This window comes from Homo sapiens, chromosome 18, assembly GCF_000001405.40.
Source record: "Homo sapiens chromosome 18, GRCh38.p14 Primary Assembly".
Lineage (NCBI taxonomy): Eukaryota > Metazoa > Chordata > Mammalia > Primates > Hominidae > Homo > Homo sapiens.
In genome coordinates this window covers 59,894,301-59,915,009 of record NC_000018.10, presented here as the reverse complement: position 1 = coordinate 59,915,009, position 20,709 = coordinate 59,894,301, and the positions used below count along the sequence as shown (strand labels likewise).

Genomic DNA, 20,709 nt, shown 5'->3' with positions numbered 1-20,709 from the left:
GTATTTACTTTGGGTACTTGTAACTATCTCCAATGTCCATCTTACCCACTGGACTATAACTTCCCTAGGGGAAGGAAAAATGTCAAGTCTTGTTCATGGCCCATACCTTGCTCAGTGCCCAGTAAATAAAGAATTGAGTGAATGAATGAATGTGAAAGTGACATTCAATCTTTATCCTGATGGATTTCTCTGCTGCATCTGAACACCTCTCATCCTTTGACTGGAATGATGGGATCTTTCTATGTTTCCCAGACTGGCCTCAAACTCCTGGGCTGAAGCTTTCCTCTTTCCTTGACTTTTCAAAGTTCTGGGATTATAGGTGTGAGACACTGTGCCTGGCCAATATTTTCTCTTGGCATTCATTTCTGACTGTTCCTTCTTATTCTTTCAGGCCTCTCTTTCTCTGTACATTCTTTACATACTTCTATTCCCCAGATTCATTTTCATTTCATTCTCTCTTCAACTCTTCTAATTGTACCCACCACTGATATTTATATGACTCGCAAACTTGGGGCTAAGATCTTTCCTGAACTTCATAGATATATATCCACACTGTCTGAAAGATGTTTCTCTCTAAGTATCCCCAGACGTAACAAATAAAATTCAACCCACTTTACCTTTTTTAATATCTCAAGCCCATTTCCTCTTCTCCTACCCTAAAAAACTGCCAACACTGAGGTCTTCATGGCTTCTCACATTCTAAATGTATCCCTCTCAAATCTATCCTCTATCCAGGCACCAGATTGAGGTATCTAAAATATCAACTTTCCAGTTACTCCTTCTTATACTAGCCCAATCAACTTACAAGATAAAGTCCAAGCCCCTTCATATGACAAACCACACCCTGCTTAACTCTCCAGGCTTGAATCCTTCATCTCCTACTTTAAACTTTAAAACCCAGCAGCACGAAAGTGTCTCCTATGCATGTTGCCATATGCGTTCTCTCCATCATGCATTTGCCTGAGCAAGATGTCTTGAGTTAACATCTTATTCTTTAAGACTCATTGTGGTGGTAGACAGCCTTTAATAACGGATCCTTGGCCAGGCACAGTGACTCACACCTGTAATCCCAGAACTTTGAAAGGCCAAGGAAGGAAGAAAGCTTGAGGCCAGTAGTTTGAGACCAGCCTGGGAAACAGAGAGAGATCCCATCTCTACCAAAAATTTAAAAAAATATTAGCAGGGAGTAGTGGCATGCACAAGTGGTCCCAGCTCCATGGGAGACTGAGGTAGGAACATCACTTGAGCCCAGGAAGTCAAGGCTGCAGTGAACCATGATCAGAACACTGCACTCCAGCTTGGGTAACAGAGTGAGACCTTAGGTCAGAAAAATGAATAAATAAGCATAAAATTTTAAAAACTTAGCCAGGCATGGTGGCACACATCTGTGGTCCCTGCTACTTAGGAGGCTGAGGTGAGAGGATCCTTGAGCCCAGGAGGTCAACACTACAGTGAGCTATGATTGTGCCACTAAACTCCAACCTGGGTGAAAAAGCAAAACCCTGCCAAAAAGAAAAAAAAAAACTCAAGAATCCCCAACTCCTACTTTTCACATCTTGTGTGATCCCTTTTCCCCAAGTATAGGTCTGACCTGGTGACTTGTTTCTAGGAAATAGAATATAATGAAAGGGACGAGAGGTCACTTCCATGATTAGATTATACATGACTGTGACTTCCATCTTGTTTGCACTTTCTCTCTCTGGTTCTCCTCAAATGTTTCTTTTGAGGAAGCAGGCTGGAGAGGCCTAGGTGGCAAAAAATAGAGGATGGCCTCTTGACAACTGCCAGTTAGGAACTGAGGTCTTCAGGCAACAACAGTGTCAAAATCAAGTCCTTCCAACAACCACAAGAGAGCTTAGAATGAATCCTTCTCCATTGGAGCCTTCAGTTGAGACCACAGCCCTAGCCAACAACTTGATTGCAGCTTTGTCAGAGACTCTGAAGGAGAAGATCCAGCTAATCCATGCTCAGAATCTTGATCCACAGAAACTAGGAGACAATAAGTGCATGCTGTTTTAAGCTGCTAAATTTCTGAGTAATTTATTACAGTAATATGTAACTAAAACAATCATTTCAGGCAACCTCTATTCCATGAAGACTTCAATCCCTCCTGCCAGGCTCACACACACATACACACATTTTGTGAGCCTCTTCAGAGCTTCCACAGTGCTTTCTACTCACCTCCTAGCACTGTATTAAAGGTTTAATTATAATTAAGCCTTTAATTAATTTTTGAATTGTTGTTCCCGATAGACTTTGAGACATTTGAGGCTGTAGTATGTCTTCCTGGTTGTTCTATCTCAGTATCTCTATGTCAAATAGTTCTTGGCACATCTGGTCAAAAATTATTTTATGGATGAATGAATGAATGAATGAACAAATGAATAATAGACATTTTGCTAAGTGAAGCAGGGGGAAAAATAAATTAGATCTATGTTATAACTACAGGAACATATAATCAAGTTGAAGAGGCAGACAAAACCTGTTATGCCTATAATTTCATGTGCTATATTGTATTGCACAAGTCTTTGTTTTCACATGGGAAAAGAGGGGTATTTTTCTGACAAATTAATAAATGTGTGTTTCTTGAAGACAGAACATGTGGGAACCTCCTACTAAAAAAGTAACCTTCGTGAAATCAAAGAATTTCATAATATAACCACCCATTTTTCCCTGCCAGGTCCCCAACACTTGTCCATAAGGAATCAACAATGAAGTAATGATCTGGAAAAGAAAAATGTGCTATGGGAATCTAAAAGATAGAATGTCCTTTCTGTTCTGAACAATCTGAAAAGAATTCTCAGAGGAAATGGATTTTGACATGGACCTTGAAGGATGACAGAGCTTTGAGCAGTAAAAATAAGAAAAGAAAGAAATCCAGAGTTGATGAAAAGCATAAACAAATCCTTAAAAGAGAAGCAGAGAGACAGAGCTTGGGAGAGGCGGAGAGAAGCCAGAAGAAAGATGAAAATTGGAAATCAATTAACTTAAAGAGGGCACATGAGGTCATTACTCTTAGATAACATGGTTGAAAGATGAACCTTGTGAAACTTAAGGAACAAAAGGGAAGAGGAACTTGCTAAGTAGAGTTAAGAGGGCTCCAGGTGCATGGAGACAAGTGCCAATCACTTTACATGAGTTTGAAGGAGGAGATGACTCTCAGAGGTTTAGCATGATGCAATGTAAAAAGAGGCCTTTGGATGTGGCAATTAGAGCACTAGTGACCTTTAGGAAAACAGTAACTGTGGAAAAAAAAATGGAGATGGAAGACAGATTACAACATGGCAAAAGTACAGTATATTTGAGGAAGTCAACAAAGCAACTAGTTTTTGGAAAAGCAGTCCCAATAATAACTTGGTAGACCTGCTCATTAATTAAGTCACTAGTGATTTTGACAATAAAATAACTTATCTGATTGTGAAATAAACACCTTTCTTTACTTGAAATAAAAAGTAACTGATATTACCTGACTTTTTTTTTCTTATTTTGAGACAGTCTTGCTCTATGGTCCAGGCTACAGTGTGGTGGCATGTTCTCAGCTCACTGTAGCCTAGACCTACTGGACTCTGGCCATCCTCTAGCCTCATCCCACCAAGTAGCTGGGGCTACAGGCACACTCCACCATGCCAGCTAATTATTTTTAATTTTTATTTTTTGTAGAGACAAGGTTTCCTCGTGTTGCCCAAGCTGGTCTTAAACTCCTGGGCTCTAGCGATCCCCCAACCTTGGCCTCTGAAAGTGCTGGGACTGCAGCAGTGAGTCACTGCACCCAGCCATTTTTTCTTTTTTCTAGTGAATACTTTCTTGGCTTATAACTTTAAGTTCTGAACTATTTGCAGATATTTCATCTGGTTGTGTTCATCTGTCTTCTCAACTGTAAAGTCCATAAATCAGGAGGAATGTCTTTATCTCTTCACTCATTTTGTACTTAATAATTCCAACAACTATGATAACATTTGGCTTTTGTAAACTCTCTGTAATCCTACAAAGTATTTTTTTTCAGCCATTTACTGGTGGCTTATAAACAGTCATGCCCTGGGCTGAGAGTTTTGACTCCATGGTATCTTTTAATCCTCTAGTGAAACTTGTGATAGGCAGGGAATAATGATTATATCCTTCTCAAAACTGAGTCAAAAGTGGTGAAAAAAAGTAAGTGGGGGCCCGGGTGTGGTGGCTTATGCTTGTATCCCAGCACTGTGGGAGGCCGAAATGGGCAGAGGTCAGGAGTTTGAGACCAGCTTGGCCAACGTGGTGAAACCCCATCTCTACTTAAAATACAAAAATTAGCTGGGTGTGCCGGGACGCACCTGTAATCCCAGTTACTAGAGAAGCAGAGGCAGGAGAATCCCTTGAACCCAAGAGTCTAGAGGTTACAGTGAGCTGAGATTGTGCCACTGCACTCCATCCTGGGTAACAGAGCAAGACCTTGTCTCAAAAAAAAAAAAAGTTAGTAGGATATAGCTACTTAGATGTAGATTCTTAGGGTTAAATCTACTAACGTTTCACATGGAATCACATTACAACCTTACAAGGGTGACTCACTTGATTTGCCTGGAAATGAGAGCATTTCCAGGACATGGTACTTTCAGTTTTTTTTATATATATATTTTTATTTATTTTATTTTATGAGATGAAATCTCCCTCTGTCTCCCAGGCTGGAGTGCAGTGGCACGATCTCGGCTCACTGCAACCTCCACCTCCCGGGTTCAAGCAATTCTCCTTCCTCAGCCTCCCGAGTAGCTGGGACCACAGGTGCAGCACCACATGCCTGGCTAATTTTTGTATTTTCAGTAGAGACAGGGTTTCACCATGTTGGCCAGGCTGGTCTCAAACTCCCGACCTCAGGTGATCCACCCACCTCAGCCTCCCAAAGTTTTGGGATTACAGGCGTGAGCCACAACACCCAGCCTGTTTTTATTTATTTTATTTATTTTTGAGACAGAATTTCGCTCTGTCACCCAGGCTGAAGTACAGTGGCTCGGTCTCTGCTCACTGCAACCTCTGCCTCCCTGGTTCAATCAATTCTGGTGCCTCAGCCTCCCAAGTAGCTGGGATTACAGGCACGTGCCACCACGCCTGGCTAATTTTTGGATTTTTAGTAGAGACAGAGTTTCACCACGTTGCCCAGGCTGGTCGTGAACTCCTGGGCTCTAGTGATCCTCCTGCCTTGGCCTTCCAAAATGTTGGGATTTCAGGTATCAGCCACAGGCATCTGGCCAAGGGACTTTCAGTTTTAAAAGCGGGACAGTCAGAGGCAAGCCGGTACCAAAGAAATTTCCATATTCATTAAGGATGAAACAATAAAATGCTTTCATAAAGAAAAGGGCCAATATCTGTGGCCTCCCACAATATTTTTAAAGAAAAAATTTCAGGGTAAGTGTAAGATAACGTGGGTTGAAACTTACAGGAAAGTGTGTTTTAAGTAAGTATACATACTTTTTAAGTTAGCCAACTTATTCTAAAAATAGTATGGTTGGTAAGTAACACACTGACGCCTTGTTACTGCCCTTTGTCCTTGTTTACGTTAATTTAAAGTTCAGAAAAAAAGTCTAGATTTATCATCCAGACTAGGTGCTTTCCAAGACTCCGGGAAAGGTCTCTGAATAGCAGGGTAGCTCAGGAGTCATTGAAAAGTTATTAGCCTGACTTCCTTCTATTCCTCTATAATGACATTTTGAAAGTTAAAGTTCTAGTCTTGACTTTCTAGTTCTCAGAAACCTGTTTATTTTAATATAACATCAGTAAAGATTTTGAAAGGGCTGAAGGAGCTGTTTTCTCACTTCAGTGGCCAGCGCTGTATTGTCATTTTTGTTCAGATAGGAAAAGGGGAGTGTTTTCCTGATGAATCAATAAATGCGTATTTCTTGAAGACAGCATTTGGGAATCTCTTACTACAAATGCAGGCTTTCTAAAACCAGAGGATTTCACGATATAACCACCCGTTGATTTCTGATGGGTTCCCAACACTTGTCCAGAATGAATCATCACAAACATACACTGGTTAGTCTAGATGTTCTCTGTTGTTTGATTTTTTTTAAAGTAGTGGCAGCCATTTAATCTTCCTTCCTGACTTCTGCCTAGACTTGCTGAAATAGGGTGGATACTGCAGGGGAGCCGAAAAAACACACCCGTTGCTGTTTTGACGGCTTCTTTTAATACTTTTCTTTCCATTTACAAATAGCTCCTGCAGGTCCGTCTCAGTAGGTGCTGTTTTGGCTTAAGTTGGTAAAAAGCGAGCCCATGAATGCTGTTTCTTTCAGAATTAATTCTGTTCTCCTCCACCACAAGATCCCTCCGGGAGTGAGATGCCACCTGACTGTGCCTGACTGGCTTGCTCTACCTACCTTCTTGGATTAACCTGAGACAGTTTATAGGGTTAGTCTCATTTATTGCTGCAGATTGGAAAGCCCCTATACCAGATGAGTGCAAATAGGGGCTGCAATGATCAGTCTTTTTTTTGCCTATCAGCTGGCTTAATCATCAGCCTTCCTCGGAACACCCAGAGGTGTAAACCTTGGTTGTAATTAATGAGACTCAGGATGGAAAACAAACTAGCATTGCTCTGGGACGGGGATCCTGCCTCCAGCCCCACGCTGGGAGGCAGTCGCGTTGTGGTAGGAAGATAAAAGAATTTTGAGGTCAGAAAGACACAAGTTCAGGCCGGGCGAGGTGGCTCACACCTGTAATCCCAGCACTTTGGAAGGCCGAGGAGAGCGGATCACTTGAGGTCAGGAGTTCAAGACCAGCCTGGCCAACATGGCAAAGCCCTGTCTCTACTAAAAATGCAAAAATTAGCCAGGCGTGGTGGTGTGAGCCTATAATCCCAGCTACTCAGGAGGCTGAGGCACGAGAATCGCTTGAACCAAGGAGATGGAGGCTGCAATGAGCTGAGATTGCACCACTGCACTCCAGCCTGGGCAATAGAGCTAGATTGTCTCAAAAAAGAAAAAAAAAAGAAAAAAGAAAGAAAAGCCCAAGTTCAAATCCTGTGACTTTTCCTCATTTGCCAATCGACTACTTTGGGACTTTGAGGACACTGCTGATTCTCTGAGGCTGCTTCCTAGAATGAAAAAGATAATCATACCTTCCGAATAGGAGTGTCTGAGCACCACATGGATTAATAAAGTTATGTTTCTAAAGTATTTGGCACATGATGGGTTTGTCAGTGAGTAGTATTTATCTAGTGGAAGTTTTGTTCTATTAGTATATACTCATATGTGTATATACGTACATACATGTATATATAAGTATATATGAGTCATGTGAGTATAGTGTTAACGTAGCAGTGTTGCACCCCTGTGAATGTGTGCAACTGACTCCATAAAGCCAAAAACAAAGGCAGCTGGGGTTTGACCTGTGTTTTCCAAATTAACACTTTTTTTTTGTCTTATCTCAGAGAGAGCATTTCAAGATTCCCTTTTGAAAAATTACTGTACCCAAATCTAGCCTTACCCCAGTCAAAAATAACTAGACCGGAACTTTCTTTCTACTTCTTGAAATGTATGTAAATCAGGACCTGAATTTTTATATGAATACATGCAAGGGGCTTTGGACAATTCAATAGTGCTTGTGAAAGCTGTTGTATACCAGGTGAAGAAAAAAAAACGGTTTACCATTACTAAGAGTTTATAAATTAAAAGCAGATGACCTCATCAAGGGAAAAACTGCCACTTCCCCTCCAGCTCCACCACTGCTTTCCTTTGAAAGGTTTCATTTGAAACGTTTCAAACGTCTTTCCTTTGAAAGGTTTCATTTCAGTCTAACAACCTTAATTGGGTAAGATCTTCCATAGCTTTGTAGGAAAGCTAACCTCTAACCCTCCCTCCATCTTGTCGGGAAAGTTAACTCACACTTACTGGACACTGACTGTGAGCCAGGCACTATATTCATCTCATCTCATTTGATTTTCAATGATGCTTTGAAATAGATATATTTTAGACCAGTTTATAAGAAAACAGAGATCAAATATTTATCCAGAGTTGCACAAAGTGGCGAAATGACAATTCTGAAGCCAGAGGCAATGACAATGACAATTGTGGGAGAGGGACATAGTCGTTTTGAAAATGGCTGAGTAAAGATGTGAATTTGGAAATGGGCAAATGTCATAGGCTCTGCTAGAGATCATAGTGAGAGAGCATGAGAAGAACAATAGAGGCATTTTCCTAAAACACAAGAAATATCAAGGAGTTATTTGCACATTCTATGTTGTTCTATTCTATCTTATTGCACAGTGTAAATCCAAGCTGAGGCTTCTCGCACTGAGCAATGTCTAATGGCAGACAGCATAGATTACATGGACTGTATCAGGGCGGGGGGTGGTTGGGAGGTGCCCAGAGCATGTGGTTAATTACTTGATAAATTAAAGAATCCAAAATCCCCATCTATAACTCTTACCAACTCTCCTGTTTCTCTGGTGATTTGAAGAATGGTATATTTGGAAGAAAACCATAAGGGAATAAATCGTGAGCATGAATGTTTCACCCTGAATTGGCTAAACAGATTTCTGAAAGTTTTTAAAAGAGAAACTAAAGTTAGTGCCTGGGCAGTATTGACAAATGTTTTGCTCTTTAACCATGAACTATTACTTGAGAAGATTCACGTGATGACACCGCAGGGTATGTCTATCAAGTGACCCTATCTACTTTCAGCTCCACATAAGAAGGAATTCTGGCAGTGATACAATCACTGGGAAAGCTTGCATGCATAGCAAACTCCCCTTTCTAAGAAAATACAAGTCCAAGAGGTTCCCACTCAACCTCCTCTAAGATTTAGAATCAATGTTTGGGGGAAGAATCCAGAAAACAGAAATTTGGGGGGGGGGGTCTTTTAAAATCCCACTCCCCTGCTTCTTTTTGCAAACCCTTAACTTTCCTCTTAGTGTCTGAAATGAGCTCAGGAGTGGGGGCCGACAGACTTGGAACTATGGTGGGAGACCTTCAGACTCCTTTGCCATCCCATTTTATGATTCAAACTTCAGGGGACCTTAAAGATGATCTAAGTCTCAATTTCAGAGATTAACTGTGGCTCAGAGAGGTTGTCTTGCCCAAGGTCACACAGCTCATTCATGATTTTGCCTTGAAAGTCCACCTTCAAGATTCTAAAGTGGGATACTCCTTGTACCGCAGCACTTCCAGTCACTATTCTATTTTTAAGGTGTTTGTTCTCTTCCTGATGGATCGTCCCCTTTGACGATTGACAATGAGATTTACAGGATTTTTGACCCTTTAGGTGGTTTCTGCTCCGTGATTGAGAGGAAGTGGGGCAGGGAGGAGTTTGTAGAGTTATTGCAATGGATTCCAAAACCCAAATCACAGCACACAGTTCTTTAAAGTGAAGAACAACTTATTCACAGATAGATACATTTTCTTTTATAATATAAATGCAAATTTAAAAGCTAGCAGTTTTTGTCAGTCAACAGATATAATTAGAATTGCCTGAACATCTTGGACATTTTTTAACATTAAAATATGGTTCTCAAAGAATATATAGCTCTAATATCTGAAGATTGTGAATCTGTGCCTAAGCCTTCATGTGCTACTCTTTATATAAAAGAAGAGCCTGAGGTACACTTTTTTTCCTTGTTTTCTAGTGGTGGCGAGAACTAATAAGGTGCACTTTTAGCAAAACAATTCTGGCTATGCGAGCAGGCTCAGAGACAGGAGTTACTCTTCCAGTGATTCTCAAATCAAATCATGTAGTTTGTCCCCACCCTTTCTGAAGCCAAGCTCCCACCTCCACCCCACTTTCCCAGAGAAAAGCCTCTCCCTCCAGATTGTTATGTATCTTGCCCATAACCCTGCATCCTCCAGCTCTCTGGTTCTTCTTTTCCTCTAGTAACTCCTCCTTCTTCCCTCACGTTTCCCATGTTAGGAAGGCAATTTACATTCTAAGGTGTCAGCTGACTCTTTCCCTTGGCAGAGGTGGGGTGAAGATGTGGCTACCAGATTGAAGCTAAAAACTAGGGGTATCTTTTAGTTCTCACACTCAAACAGGAAGGCCATTGAGTTACACCTACTTTTGCACATGACTAACCTCAGATGAAGCAATCTTTGCTACTCTACGGCTGGAAGCAGAGGAAGAAGCGTGAGGTCACCAAAAAGGAAACTGCACTGCAGCTCCTCTTGCCAGACAGACCCAGGAGCAGTCAAGGATGCCAGCTCACAAAACACCTCTAATTAGATCATGAATCTGTATAGGCTGTAATCCCAGCACTTTGGGAGGCCGAGGCGGGCAGATGACTTGAGGCCAGGAGTTCAAGACCAGCCTGGCCAACATGGTGAAATCCCCGTCTCTACTAAAAACACAAAAATTACCCAGTGTGGTGGCGTGTGGGGGAGGCTTTAGCACGAGAATCACTTAGACCCAGGAGGCAGAGGTTGCAGTGAGCCAAAATTGTGCCAATGCACTCCAGCCTGGGCGACAGAGCAAGACTCTGTCTCAGAAAAAAAAAAAAAAAGGACCTATGTTGGGCATTCATTTCCTATTTTTCACTATTTCCCCTCCCAATTAAAGTGTAAGTCCCTTGAGAGCAGAAATCATGCAAACTCCCCTATATTTTCTACTCCAACTACTGGGAGGAGACAGTGTGGTCAGAAGGTCAGAGGATGTCTGCTGATGGAAATCAGTTAAAATACTTTGGCTTGATAATGAACACTTAGTAATTAGTAGCTTACAAGATGAAGACAAAATTAACACACAGAAAAGAACAGTGAAAACTTTTAATAGTTTACTGCCACAGTATCAACTTTTATATGTGTGCATATGTTTAAATACAAATTAGACCATAAATACCAGATGGTAAAATAGCTGCCTCTAGGCTGAAAAAAAAAACTCTCTACCACTAAATAAACAATCTTAAGTAATACTGAAGAAAACAGATGTGAGGTAATTTTCCATCTAAAGTGACTACAACCTACATTAAGACATTTTAACTAAAAATTCAAGTAGTTATAAGACTCTTGTAACTCAAAAATGTAACTTTAATACACATTTTCAAACTAAAGAAAAATACTTTAATTATAAATAGGCAAAATAAATAAAATTATTCCTGCTGAAATAAAATCAAGACATTATTTATTTGAGGACTGTATATAGCCCAGATAAAAAAAATGAAACTTACTTGAGACCCTACTAAGAAGCTATATAATACTCTAATACAAATTATCTATACAGATACCCATATAAGTATGTAAGTATGTGTATACATATATATTCACCAATGCATATATGGAACTTTCATTCTAGATGAGAACTAACTGTTCCTTTTTTTTAAGAAAAGTATATTCCAATTATGAAAATATTCTTAATTTACATTAAGAGATCACTTTTTGTAGGATGCACACTAATGTGACAAGGAGCATTTTCCGAACCTTTAGAAACTTCTTTAGAAACATTCATATCTTATCAAGTTACTTCTGAATATTTGTTCTACTAAGTTTCAAAAACATCAATTAAAAATTAACTTCTTTTTTCTTTTTATTATCCCTGGTTATACAAAATCCCCATGTTCTTTTATTATATTGAATGTTCAGTCTACTGATTTACTGGCCCCAAGTAACCCTCCTATACTTTATCCAATTTTTTCAAAGTTATTTTCCAGTTTTCCATAGTTTCTAGTAACGCCCAACAGGAACACATTGAATGAAAGATCATCTGAACAGAAGCAATACAATTTGAGTCAAAAGAAACAAATGATTTTACGTTGTGTAGTGACCGAAGAAATCAACACTGAGTATAACATTTCAGTGTTCTCAGAATGAGTTTTTTCATTATAACAAGGTAATATGTATAAACCGAATCATATACAATGTGCTGAGTTGGCACTGAAAAGCAAAACACCAAAAACAGCAACAACAACAATGCACTGAACTGTTTCTCCCCAGCCGCCCAGTCTAATCACAGGTCATCTCCCTTCACAGTAGGCCAGCGGTAATCTTCGGCAAAAACACTAGAACGATTCTCTAAGTAAAAAAGAAATGTGTCAATAATTACTTCTTTATTTTCAAGGGTCTTCCATTCTTGCTTTAAAATAAACAAAGTGGTTTTATAATGTTCTCTCATCCCAAAGAATGATAATCTGGGAAAACTTGAACAGAAATTCACTTTGATGTATTCCATCTTCCGTTTCCAAGGGCACCCATGAATGCACCTTCACATTCCTCTCAATTACAATGCAGTCTTTCTTCAAATTGATGAAACGTGCACCTCCTGAGAAAACTCTTTTGAAGGAGTCCCCTCATGCAAGTTTTTGATGCAGTCAGGTTCCTGAGCAGAAGAGTTTGGATATCAGATTCAGAAGTTTCTGCCGGAAGTTCAGTTTGTCTCCAAATCTCCTGAGTTGAGTAGCACACTCGACTTCCAGCTCTGAGAAGGAAAGCAAAACATGGACATGAACATTGATGATATTACAGACTGTAACCAGCAAAACCTAATACGCCCACACTAGTGACAAATTGAGTATCCCAGGAAGCATTTCTCTTAACTTTGGCTTTATGTGCACCTGTTTTCCAAATGTGACACACACACACACTTACACACATTGTGACTCACCGAAAGCAATCGTTAAGGTAAGAATAAAGACATTTACTTTGAGTTTTTAAAAAACGCATCCTGGATGAGGCAAGTGTTACCTTACTTTCAAATATGTCAAATACCACAAAGAGTAGCATTATCATTCTTTGGGATGTGAGAACATTGTAAAACCACTTTGTTTATTTTAAAAGCAATGCTACAAAGAGTAGCATAAGTCACCAGCCTTAGATGATGTCATCTTTTTCTCTTCATTTAAGGTTGGCTGGGAAACAGAAGTCAAGTTCTGTGTGGCTTTCAAGTAGGATTTGATTTTCAAATGGCAATAATTTACAGCTTAGGTTATACTCTCATTATATAGGCAAATCTAGAGGTATTCTTTTTCTCGTTAAAAAACGCTGATATTTTTTCATAAAAGACTCATAAAATCTTATTCTAAAATTAAGTCCACATTCTCTAAAATAATTTAAACATTTCTATTTTAATGTAAACCCACTTCTTCCTATAACCCCATTATGTACCAATCCATTGCCTTTATGGAAATGAGAGGAGCAGAAAATAAGCAATGTTTAATTCACATGTTTACTACTTTTTGGAATTGAGTTATTCTAACTGAATATTAAGAAAAATGATGCTTATAATTTCCAAGTACACTTTTTTTCAGTAAGTGCAGTTAACACTATACTGACTATAATATCGTATCTATACTGACTATAATTTCAATTTTCTTGAATATTTCAAAGAGCAGCTTGAGGTCTTTCGGGTACACTTCATGATTACAAACATTAAAAAATCATGATTACAAATTAAAATCTGGTCTATTTTATAAATCGACCCTGAAAATACCGTATTTAGGCTCAAAATAAATCAAAGCTGTCAATATATAGTAAAGCAAAATCTTAAACCTATATTTCAACCAATTTCTCTCTACAAGAAGTGAGTGAAATCTTTCCTAACTCCTACACCAAGAGACCTAATAAATCCCTTAAGGTGTTATTCTTTATGGGCTACAAGATCAAATATGTTGGGAAGTATTTACATAGACATGTTGTCTACAGAGATTGAGATATATTAATATACAGTTCTAAAAGAAAAACCAAATACCATTCAGCGTCCGACACTGGAAGCCCTGAATTCTAAGTGGAAAAGTTATCCCTTTCACCAAAAATGTAGAAAACAAGGCAGAAAATACTTCCCGGTCATTTCCTTAATTTTTTAAAAATTGCATTACACACCTATAAATGTATTAGTATCAATCAAATCAAGTTTAAGAGGGACTTTGTGCTGCTTCCTGTTCTTGGGAATTAAGTCGGACCAGAAAGTGCTATGCATAAGTAAGATCCTTCAGAAAGAAACAAGGTCAGAATCCTAAGACATCACAAAAGGTAGACAAAGCTTTTTCCATCCCACACAAGCGCCAGAGACAGCAGCCTGTTACCAACTTAGGCATGGTCACATTTGCAATGCACCACTTCCTTCGCACGCCCCAGGAGCTCTATAAAATGAAAGTAACTTAAAAGGTGGGGGGGGCGTATAATCGTCTGATGCAACAGCAGTATGGCCCACACAGACTTCGGGCTCTGGGCAGTGACTGGGTTCTCTGTTTAGATTTAGAAAAAGCATGGGGCCGGGGCGCTGGCCTGAAAACTTACGATGGAGCTGTATGTATCGGGGTGGGGAGTGCGAATGAATGAATGAAAAAAAGGAGCGGACTAACTCCTATTCTCCTATCCCCACCTCCCACAATATCGATTATTTAAATGTTACAAGATTTTCTAGGCTCCTGAACACAGGGGCCCTTGTGGGGCCGTCTCTGGAAGCGCTGGGAGTCCAGGCGGTCCCCGGGGCTCTCTCCTGCCCCTTCTGCCGCGACAATGACTTTCTCCTAGAGACAGCCGCCTACACTTGCACTTGTTCCTCGTGGCCCCGGGGAAGGGCAAGTGGCGAGGAGGAAAGAGAGGAGGAAAGGAGCTTTTTGCCCCTGGTGAAACGCAGCTGCATCCCAATCGCAAATCCGGCTTGGTCCCTCGCCGTACCCGCCGTACCCGCCGGTCCTGGGGAAAAACCCCGAAGAACTTTCTGGAGGCGCCCCTAAGGCTCGCGCCAGGGCACAGACCTGGCCCGACCTTGACCCCCGTGCAGTCTGTGCTTGAGCCCCGGCGAGCTGAGCCCGCCCCAGCCGAGACCTCGACCCCGGCCCCGACCCCGCCCGGCCTGGGTCTTCGCTGGCCCCAGCGGGTCGGTACCTGCTGGAGCCCGCGCGGGGCTCGGTTGAGCGTTCTTGCGCGCCTTCTTCCCAGGCATCTCCGCCGGTGCCGCCGCCCACTCAGCTACAGAGCCCGGGAACCTCAGCCTCCAACTGGAGCACCTCGGACAGCTGCAGGACGCGAGCTGAACACGAACAGTCCTGCAGGCAGGGATGCTGGGATCGGGTGTCCGGACGCGCGGAGATGCCAACTACACACGGTGAGTGCCCGGGAAACTCTGAGATCCCCGCGCCAGAGACCACGCTTTTGTCCAGTGAGAACTTCCCTGGTGACGTAGGGAAACTAGACGCCCGGCCCGCCCCTGTCCCCGCCCCTGTCCCCGCCCCGCAGACGGCGTTATGGGAGCGGACGCGGGACGCGGGCGGGGAAGTACCCCGCTGAGCGCGACCTGCCCGGACACGCTCCCGACCCGCGGCGGCGCCGACCCGCGGCGGGGGGCGCAGAGCGCTCGGCCCCGAAATTACTTCCTTACAAAACGAGGTGGGAGGAGAAGGGGGTCGGCTTTGACCATCTGCAAACGCTGGACGTCGTCAGCGGCAGTGGTGGCGGGAGCTGGGAGTGGCGGGAGCTGGGAGTGGCGGGAGGGGAAGGGTTTAACCAGGAGGAACGTTGTGGGTGGGGAGAGACCAGAGGCCTTGGCAATTAGAGACTTGGGTAAACAAGCCCAGAAAAGAGATTGGAAAAGGAAACTTTTCGAACTTGAAGAGTATGGGCAGTAACAGGGAAGGGAAATGAGAAGAACCTTAATCACCGCAGAGGAGATGCCAGAGGCCCTGTGAGAAAGCTCCGGGTCCCAGGAAGTCACTGCAAACAGAAGCCCTGGTGCCAGCCAGAAAGAACATCGTGTTTGAGTTGGGAAGGGATTTGTGTGTGTCCTTCCAGATAGGTCGATATCGCCCATTGTGGATGTTTAGCAAAAACGAGTGGATCGTTATCATATGGAAAACGTTCAAATCTTTTGTGGGAGGGCTGAGCTACCTGGGAACGTGAAATTATTTGCATAATGTTTGGCGAGGCCATGAGTAATTCTACTATTATGAAGAGGAGTAATTAGGAGTGGTTAACGGTTACTGAGAGCCGCTTCATGCTAAGGACTTTGACATGCATTTTCTCATTCCGTCCTCAGAACAACCGTTGCTACTTTACGGGTGCAGAAACTGAGGTTTGTAGAAAATTGCCCAAGTTCACTTAGGCAGAGAGCACTGCCCTGATTCCGAACCAGGCAGGCCCACAGAGAGCAAGAGCTCTTACCCACTGTAGCCTTCCCAGCAATCAGTTTCTTAGAAAATGTGTGTTTTCGCCGAACGCGGTGGCTCACGCCTGTAATCCCAGCTCTTTGGGAGGCCGAGGCGGGTGGTTCGTTTGAGGCCAGGAGTTCGAGACCAGCCTTGCCAATATGGTGAAACCCCGTCTCTACTGAAATACAAAAGATTAGCCGGCCTTGGTGGTGCACGCCTGTCGTCCCAGTTGCTTGGGCGGCTGAGGCACGAGAATCGCTTGAACCTGGGAGGCGGAGGTTGCAGTGAGCCGAGATCGCGCCACTGCATTCCAGCCTGGGTGACGGAATAAGACTCTGTCTCAAAAAAGAAAAAGAAAAAAAAAGCGTGTTTTCATATTAGCTGTGCTGTTTAATGAAAAGATTGCAAATTCGTTGCATGGGCTCCCTAGAAGTGCTTAGTTTGGTTTACAGTATTGGCCTTCAAAATGTATTGTAAAAATTTGAATTGATTACCAACATTTTAAACATTGAGGGATTGCATGAAAAACCCAGATTCCAGCATCTCTTGGAAAACCAGAATCTCTGACAACGTGGGATCCATTTTCCAAAAGTGCAAACTAGGTTTGAAGTGTGGTCGAAGCCACACCCTTTAGAGGAACCTAGGGTGCTCCTGTTCACCACACTCCCCGCTGTTTGCTTTTCCCATTTACATTATCTGGCCTCAGTAGGCATTTGAGGTTGTTTATTTATCTTAAATCATTCAGTCAACACAAACCAGCAAGTATTTATTTATGGCTTGGTCCTGCTGAAGGTATGGACAACAATATAAGCATGGAACAAAACTGCTCTTGAGTTTAAACAACATAGTTTCGAGGCTGATGTTGGCTGTTTTTGAATGGGGTATATACAAACGAGTAAAAGTGGACAGAATTTAGGAATCATCACAAGACGCAGGAAGCACACTGGAGATGCTGCCTTGAAATCTATTATCCCCAAGTGGTAATTCAAAACCACTCCAGGCTCATTTTGACTTACCTAATACATAAGGAACACCGTTAACTTTTTGGTTGCATAAATTATTAAATTTCTGTCGTTCAAATACGCACCCTGAAATGCAGAGAATATACTCAACAACCACCAAAAAAAAAAAAAAAAAGTGAATCACAACATTGTTTACCTATAAAAGGTATGTTAATCCCATCCTCTAACATTTTCATTAGAAAAGAATTGGTCATGTGACTCACACTGGCTACAAACCTTAGGCAACTCTGTTTTTTAGGGAATTGCAAATTCAGCTTGCAAGGAGGAAAAGAGCGGAAAGAAGTCGGGCGAGGTGGGTTTTGGACATGGGTCAGATTCAGCTGGTTTATAGAGGACTTTTAAAGATTTAGGATTTGAGATGGTCCATAAACTCTTTGGCAGATCTAACATTCTCTAAAGAGAATTGGCCAGGCATAGTGGCTCACGCCTGTAATCTCAGCACTGTGGGAGGTGGAGGCTGGGGGATCGCTTGAGTCCAGGAGTTGATGACCAACCTGGGTAACATGGTGAAACCCTGTCTCTGCAGATAATACAAGTATAAGCTGTAGTGTCAGCTACTCAGGAGGCTGAGGTGGGAGGATTGCTTGAGCCAAGGAGGAGGAGGTTGCAGTGAGCTATGATCGAGCCACTCCACTCTAGCTTGAGCGACAAAGGGAGAACCCTGTCTCAAAAAAAAAAAAAAAAGCTAGAAGCAGAGTGAATAGCTTCTTTTAACTGTATATCCTCTGGAAAAGGGAGGTATCATTTAATGTTGGGCTTGCAACAAATATAAACATGGAGATATTTGACCAAACGAAATAATTAATAAAAATGTATCATGAAGCGTTAGAATTCCCTACTATTTTTTTTTAAGTAGGACTGGTGAAAATGACATTTTAAAAAACTATTAGATAATCCTTTCTCGTGAAACAAGTTCAAAAATGACAGTGCACATCTGATCATTTCGATGTCAGTGTTTAAAAAAAGAAAAATGTATACGTATCTATATATATATATGAACCACAATGACAAAACAAAATAAGCATGATTAGTAATAGAATAGTCATTCATATATTTCTTGCAGAAAATAGGATTTGACAGTTAAACAAGAGGACATGAGATATAAATGAGGCATATGTAGAGTCAGCCTGGGATAAAATATACAGGCTGTAGATCGATTGTGTTTGTTCTAATAAAAGTGTTTGTTGTTGTTGTTTTCCTGTATAGCATGTTTGTTAACAGGAAATTAGCCAGAGTATTTGATGGATTATATCTCTCACGCCTGTAATCCCAGCGCTTTGGGAAGCCGAGGCAGGCAGATCACTTGAGGTCAGGAGTCTGCCAGCCTGGCCAATGTGGCAAAACCCCATCTCTACTAAAAATACAAAAATTAGCCGGGCGTGGTGGTGCATGCCTGTAATCCTGTAATCCCAGCTACTCAGGAGGCTGGACTGAGACAGGAGAATCGCTTGAACCCAGGCGGAGGTTGCAGTGAGCCGAGATGGCGCCACTGCACTCCAGCCTGGGCAACAGAGTGAGACTCTGTCTCAAAAAAAAAAAAAAAATCTCTCTTTAAGACAGACACTGAGGCCAGGCACAGTGTGGCTCACGCTTGTAATCCCAGCACTTTGGGAGGCCGAGGTGGGTGGATCACCTGAGGTCAGGAGTTCGAGACCAGCCTGACCAACATGGTGAAAACCCATCTCTACTAAAAATACAAAATTAGCTGGGCGTGGTGGCACATGCCTGTTATCCCAGCTACTCAGGAGGCTGAGGCAGGAGAACTGTTTGAACACGGGAGGTGGAGGTTGCAGTGAGCCGAGATTACACCATTGCACTCCAGCCTAGGCAACAAGAGCAAAACTCATCTCAAAAAAAAAAAAAAAAAAAAAACAGGCCGGGCGCGGTGGCTCACGTCTGTAATCCCAGCACTTTCAGAGGCCAAGGCGGGCAGATCATGAGGTCAGGAGATCGAGACCATCCTGGCTAACACGGTGAAACCCCGTCTCTACTAAAAATACAAAAAATTATCCGGGCATGGTGGCGGGTGCCTGTAGTCCCAGCTACTCAGGAGGCTGAGGCAGGAGAATGGCGTGAACCCGGGAGGCGGAGCTTGCAGTGACCTGAGATCGCGCCACTGCACTCCAGCCTGGGCGACAGAGCGAGACTCCGTCTCAAAAAAAAACAAAAAAAAAAGACAGACATTGAGCTAGGCCAAGGGAAGGCAATGCTCCCTGCCCCTATGCAATCTTTGGTGGAGAGACCAGTAACTCAGAAATTTCATGTGCATAAGAATCACTTGAGTATCTTCTTAAAATGTGCATCTGATTCTGGAGCTCTGCTTGGACCTGAGATTCTGCATCTTTCGTGAACTGTCACGATGTTGATGCTTCTGCTCTGTGGACAACTTTGAGTAGCAAGGCCAGAGGGTGATATAGAGAGTAACCCAGCAGGTGCAATAAGATGTGTGTCAGTCCTGAGCCAGGGAAATTAGAGCAGATTACAGGGCTGCCTGGGAGAGCAATCAGTAGGAAAGGGCATCAACATAGGGACCTGAGGCTCGAATAGAAGTCGGCCAAGCAATCACACCAACCAAAGGGAAGAAGGACATTCTCGGCAGAGACTGACAGCAGTGTGAGGTCAGGAGTGGTGAGAAGTGATGGGGAGAAAAGCCACTGGAGGAGTTTGGATATTATCGTGGGGGCAATAGGGAATTACAGAAGGTTTTTAGCAGGTAGTTGATGTAATAAAACTCTAGAAAGTCACTCTGACTGCAGTGTGAGTAGATTAACCAAGCTAAGACCCAAGACAGTGTGACTTGTAAAAATATTGTGGTAATTCTAGTATAAAATGGCAGTGTCAGCAAAGACAGTCACTGTTTCAACCTATCTTATTAAAACTCCCATATTTCCTGACTAGGGTAGAACCACATTGTGGTAGAACATGTCTTGATTTTTTGTTTCAGCATCATTATAATTGACATTTTATCCTATGCTAGCTTCCTAGGGCTGCTGTAACAAAGTACCACAGACTGGGTGGTTTAAAACAATAGAAATGTATTCTCTCAGGCCAGGCACGGTGGCTCGTGCCTATGATCCCAGCACTTTGGGGGGCCGAGGTGGGCAGATCACTTAAAATCAGGAGTTCGAAACCAGCCTGACCAACATGGTGAAACCCTGTCTCTACTGAAAATACAAAAATTAGCCAGGCGGTGGTGCACGCCTGTAGTCCCGGCTACTTGGGAGGCTGAGGTAGGAGAATCACTTGAACCCAGGAGGCAGATGTTGCAGTGAGCCGAGATCAGGTTGCAGTGAGCCAAGATCATGCCACTGCACTCCAGAAGTCCAAAATCAAGGTGCCTTCAGGGCATGCTCTTTCTGAAGCCTCCAGGGGAGAATCCTTCCCTCCCTCTCCTAGCTTCTGGTGGGTGCCTGCAGTCCCGGCATTTCTTTTCTTTTCTTTTTTTTTAGATGGAGTCTCGCTCTGTCACCCAGGCTGGAGTGCAGTGGCACTATCTCGGCTCACTGCAACCTCTGCCTCCTGGGTTCAAGCGATTCTCCTGCCTCAGCCTCCTGAGTAGCTGGGATTACAGGTACCTGCCACTACACCTGGCTAATTCTTATATTTTTAGTAGAGGTGGGGTTTCACCATTTTGGCCAGGCTGGTCTCGAACTC

At 42.6% G+C, this 20,709-nt stretch overlaps 1 protein-coding gene across 6 annotated transcripts, besides 5 other annotated features; it reads right to left on the bottom strand.

Annotated features, from left to right (window-relative positions):
* Positions 10,015 to 10,184: an enhancer, noted in NCBI's record as "active region_13422". NCBI's record gives its function as "activates an Ori minimal core promoter by ATAC-STARR-seq in GM12878 lymphoblastoid cells {active_cell/tissue: GM12878}" and the evidence as "EXISTENCE:reporter gene assay evidence [ECO:0000049][PMID:35858748]".
* Positions 10,705 to 15,014, bottom strand: PMAIP1 (phorbol-12-myristate-13-acetate-induced protein 1). 6 transcript variants are annotated; one of them, NM_001382616.1, is made up of 3 exons: positions 14,775 to 15,014; positions 14,432 to 14,582; positions 10,705 to 12,363 (listed from the first exon to the last, which is right to left on the bottom strand). In NM_001382616.1, the coding sequence occupies exons 1-3, from the start codon at positions 14,830 to 14,832 to the stop codon at positions 12,162 to 12,164; spliced, it is 411 nt and encodes a 136-aa protein (NP_001369545.1). In that variant the 5' UTR covers positions 14,833 to 15,014; the 3' UTR covers positions 10,705 to 12,161. The 6 variants fall into 6 exon arrangements, with proteins under 6 accessions (NP_001369545.1, NP_001369547.1, NP_001369544.1 ...); NM_001382618.1 differs by having other exon boundaries at positions 14,438 to 14,582; NM_001382615.1 differs by having other exon boundaries at positions 14,565 to 14,582.
* Positions 14,648 to 14,857: a silencer, noted in NCBI's record as "silent region_9498". NCBI's record gives its function as "represses an Ori minimal core promoter by ATAC-STARR-seq in GM12878 lymphoblastoid cells {active_cell/tissue: GM12878}" and the evidence as "EXISTENCE:reporter gene assay evidence [ECO:0000049][PMID:35858748]".
* Positions 15,008 to 15,417: a silencer, noted in NCBI's record as "silent region_9497". NCBI's record gives its function as "represses an Ori minimal core promoter by ATAC-STARR-seq in GM12878 lymphoblastoid cells {active_cell/tissue: GM12878}" and the evidence as "EXISTENCE:reporter gene assay evidence [ECO:0000049][PMID:35858748]".
* Positions 15,008 to 15,925: a biological region, named in NCBI's record as "NANOG-H3K27ac-H3K4me1 hESC enhancer GRCh37_chr18:57566317-57567068".
* Positions 15,174 to 15,925: an enhancer, noted in NCBI's record as "NANOG-H3K27ac-H3K4me1 hESC enhancer chr18:57566317-57567068 (GRCh37/hg19 assembly coordinates)". NCBI's record gives its function as "activates a minimal SCP1, AML or CMV promoter by ChIP-STARR-seq in naive H9 embryonic stem cells {active_cell/tissue: H9 hESC(naive)}" and the evidence as "EXISTENCE:reporter gene assay evidence [ECO:0000049][PMID:30033119]".